Source organism: Homo sapiens, chromosome 15 (genome assembly GCF_000001405.40).
Source record: "Homo sapiens chromosome 15, GRCh38.p14 Primary Assembly".
NCBI classification, from domain to species: Eukaryota; Metazoa; Chordata; class Mammalia; order Primates; family Hominidae; genus Homo; species Homo sapiens.
The window spans coordinates 67,946,014-67,948,195 of NC_000015.10; the positions used below are offsets into that span (position 1 = coordinate 67,946,014).

Consider the following 2,182-nt stretch of genomic DNA (forward strand, 5'->3'; position numbering starts at 1 on the left):
GGTGGGGCATGAGGAGGAGCACGTGTTCTTAGAGCTCAGTGTCCCTCCCACCACATTCCCCTGTGCGTTGCCCCAGGCACAGGAACTTTGTAATCACATCCAGCCTGGGATTATAACCAAACACAGCATTCCACCACCCTCTGCAACCTCTTTGTTTGATCTTCCCCCTGGAGACACAGGTCAAGAGGAAGAGAAGGGGAAGGGGGGCAAACTGCAGGGAGAGTGTGTGGGGAGCTTCCTTTGAATTGTCTTTTAATTCAGAAACAGAAAACAAAGATGCCATTTCCCAAGGCCTGAGATACCGCCGCTCTGCATTAAAGGGGTTCAGTCTCAGAATCCTGGAGCAGGGTCCACCTGGGAGGTCACTAGTCTGACCCACCTGGTTTACAGAGCCCAGGAAGGGACCATAACTTCTTTGATGTCACACGGCAGAGAGGGGCAGCATTGCAGTGTGATGTCACAGCAAAGAGGGGTAGCTACTCATGGAGAATGACTCAAGAAGCCTGGGGGAAAGCCTTCCCCACCAGTTGCTCAGTAACACCTAAACTGCCTTGCCTGTGGGACCCAGCCTTGTACTGCATCATCAGAGATTAGCCTGACAAGCAAATGCACCAGGGAGGAAGCCTGGTAATGGGGGCTCATTTATGCTAGGGCGTGGATGACTGATATCAGGGTCTTTCACACCAAGAGGCTTAGCCGGAGGCAGAGGAGAGGAGATCAGAAGGGCACTGGAGACTGCAAGGGCAAGAGGTGACTGGGGCTAAGCCTAGAGGGAAGAGGGCATGGAGCTGAGAGCTTCAGGCACAAAAGAGAAACTTAATACCTGCTTTGTAGGCCCCAGGTCCTGTGCCTGATTTTCTCTTTCCTCTGAGAAAGAAGCTGTGAGGTTTCTGAAGTGTCAAGTCACTCTTCATGTCTAATCCTGTTGCTGTTTAGAGAGAGTGTGTTTCAGATTTATGTCTGAACTGCATCTAAAGGTATCAGCAAAGTCGTTAATTTCAGCCACCTGAATCTGGTGGCTGCCTCTGCTTACGCACAGCAACACTTCCTTCCTCCAGTCCTGTGGGAAATAAGGTATTTCTTCGGGTGAGGTTTTTGTTTTGTCTTGTTTTTTAATAATTTAAGCTTCCTGTTTTATGTATCTAATCTCTTCATATTTTCAGTATGAGGGTACTACTAAGGGGCATTTTACATTCTCGAAGTATGCTGTAATTGTTGTTTATAATTTAAATTTAATCTTTTTCTTTAGTGTTTTTAATTACTTAAGAAATACATACTCATTGTAAAGGATTCAAAAGATAGAAAAGTACATGAAATAAAAAGCATCACTTTATCGCTTTCTACTGCTAAAGGTAGACACTTAACATTTTGGTTTTCTTTCTTTCTTTCTTTACTTTTTTCTTTTTTTTTCAGCAAAAAAGGTATTATATGCCACGTCAGCAGGTCTGTGAATTCATGAAGATCCCTGAGACCATTTCAGGGGTCCACAAGGCCAAAGCTATTTTTATAATAACACTAAGACAAAATTTGCTTTTTTTCCCACAGTGTTGACATTTGTACTGATGTTGCAAAAAGTAAAAGTGGGTAAAAACTGCTAGTGTCTTAGATCAAGGAGGTGGCTCCTTGAACTGTCCTGGTGGGTATTCTGTCCTTCACTACTACACTCTCAGAGGAGCCGAAATGCCAGTTTCTTAAAGAATGTCCTTAATGAAGTAGTAAAGATGATAAATTGTATTAAATTTCAACCCTGGCGTACCTGCCTTTTTAAGATTCTGCATGAAGAGATGAGAAGTATGCTTAAGCCCTGCTGCATTCCAAAGTCCACTGACCATCCGAGGAGACACTCGTGCAGCTGTTTGTGTTGCAAGCTGAATTCACTGTCCCCCAGTCGCCCTGTCCCCCACCAGGGAACATCATTTTTACTCGAAATAATGACTGACAAACTATGGTTGTTCAGATTTGGGAATTTTCAGACATTTTCTCAAAAAATGAATGAAATGAACCTGTCATTTCAAGGAAACTGACAGTATTTGTTACTAATGATGAAGTTTCAGCTTTCTTTTATTTTCTTTTTAACTTTTAAGTTCAGGGGTACCTGTGTAGGTTTGTTACATAGGTAAACTTGTATCATAGGGGTTTGTTGTACAGATTATTTTGTCACCCAGATATTAAGCAAAGGACC

General features: G+C 43.2%; 1 annotated feature.

Annotated features, from left to right (window-relative positions):
- Positions 207 to 1,406: an enhancer, noted in NCBI's record as "BRD4-independent group 4 enhancer chr15:68238558-68239757 (GRCh37/hg19 assembly coordinates)". NCBI's record gives its function as "activates an origin of replication core promoter dependent on BRD2, P300/CBP, MED14 and CDK7 cofactors, and independent of BRD4, by STARR-seq in HCT116 cells {active_cell/tissue: HCT116}" and the evidence as "EXISTENCE:reporter gene assay evidence [ECO:0000049][PMID:35650434]".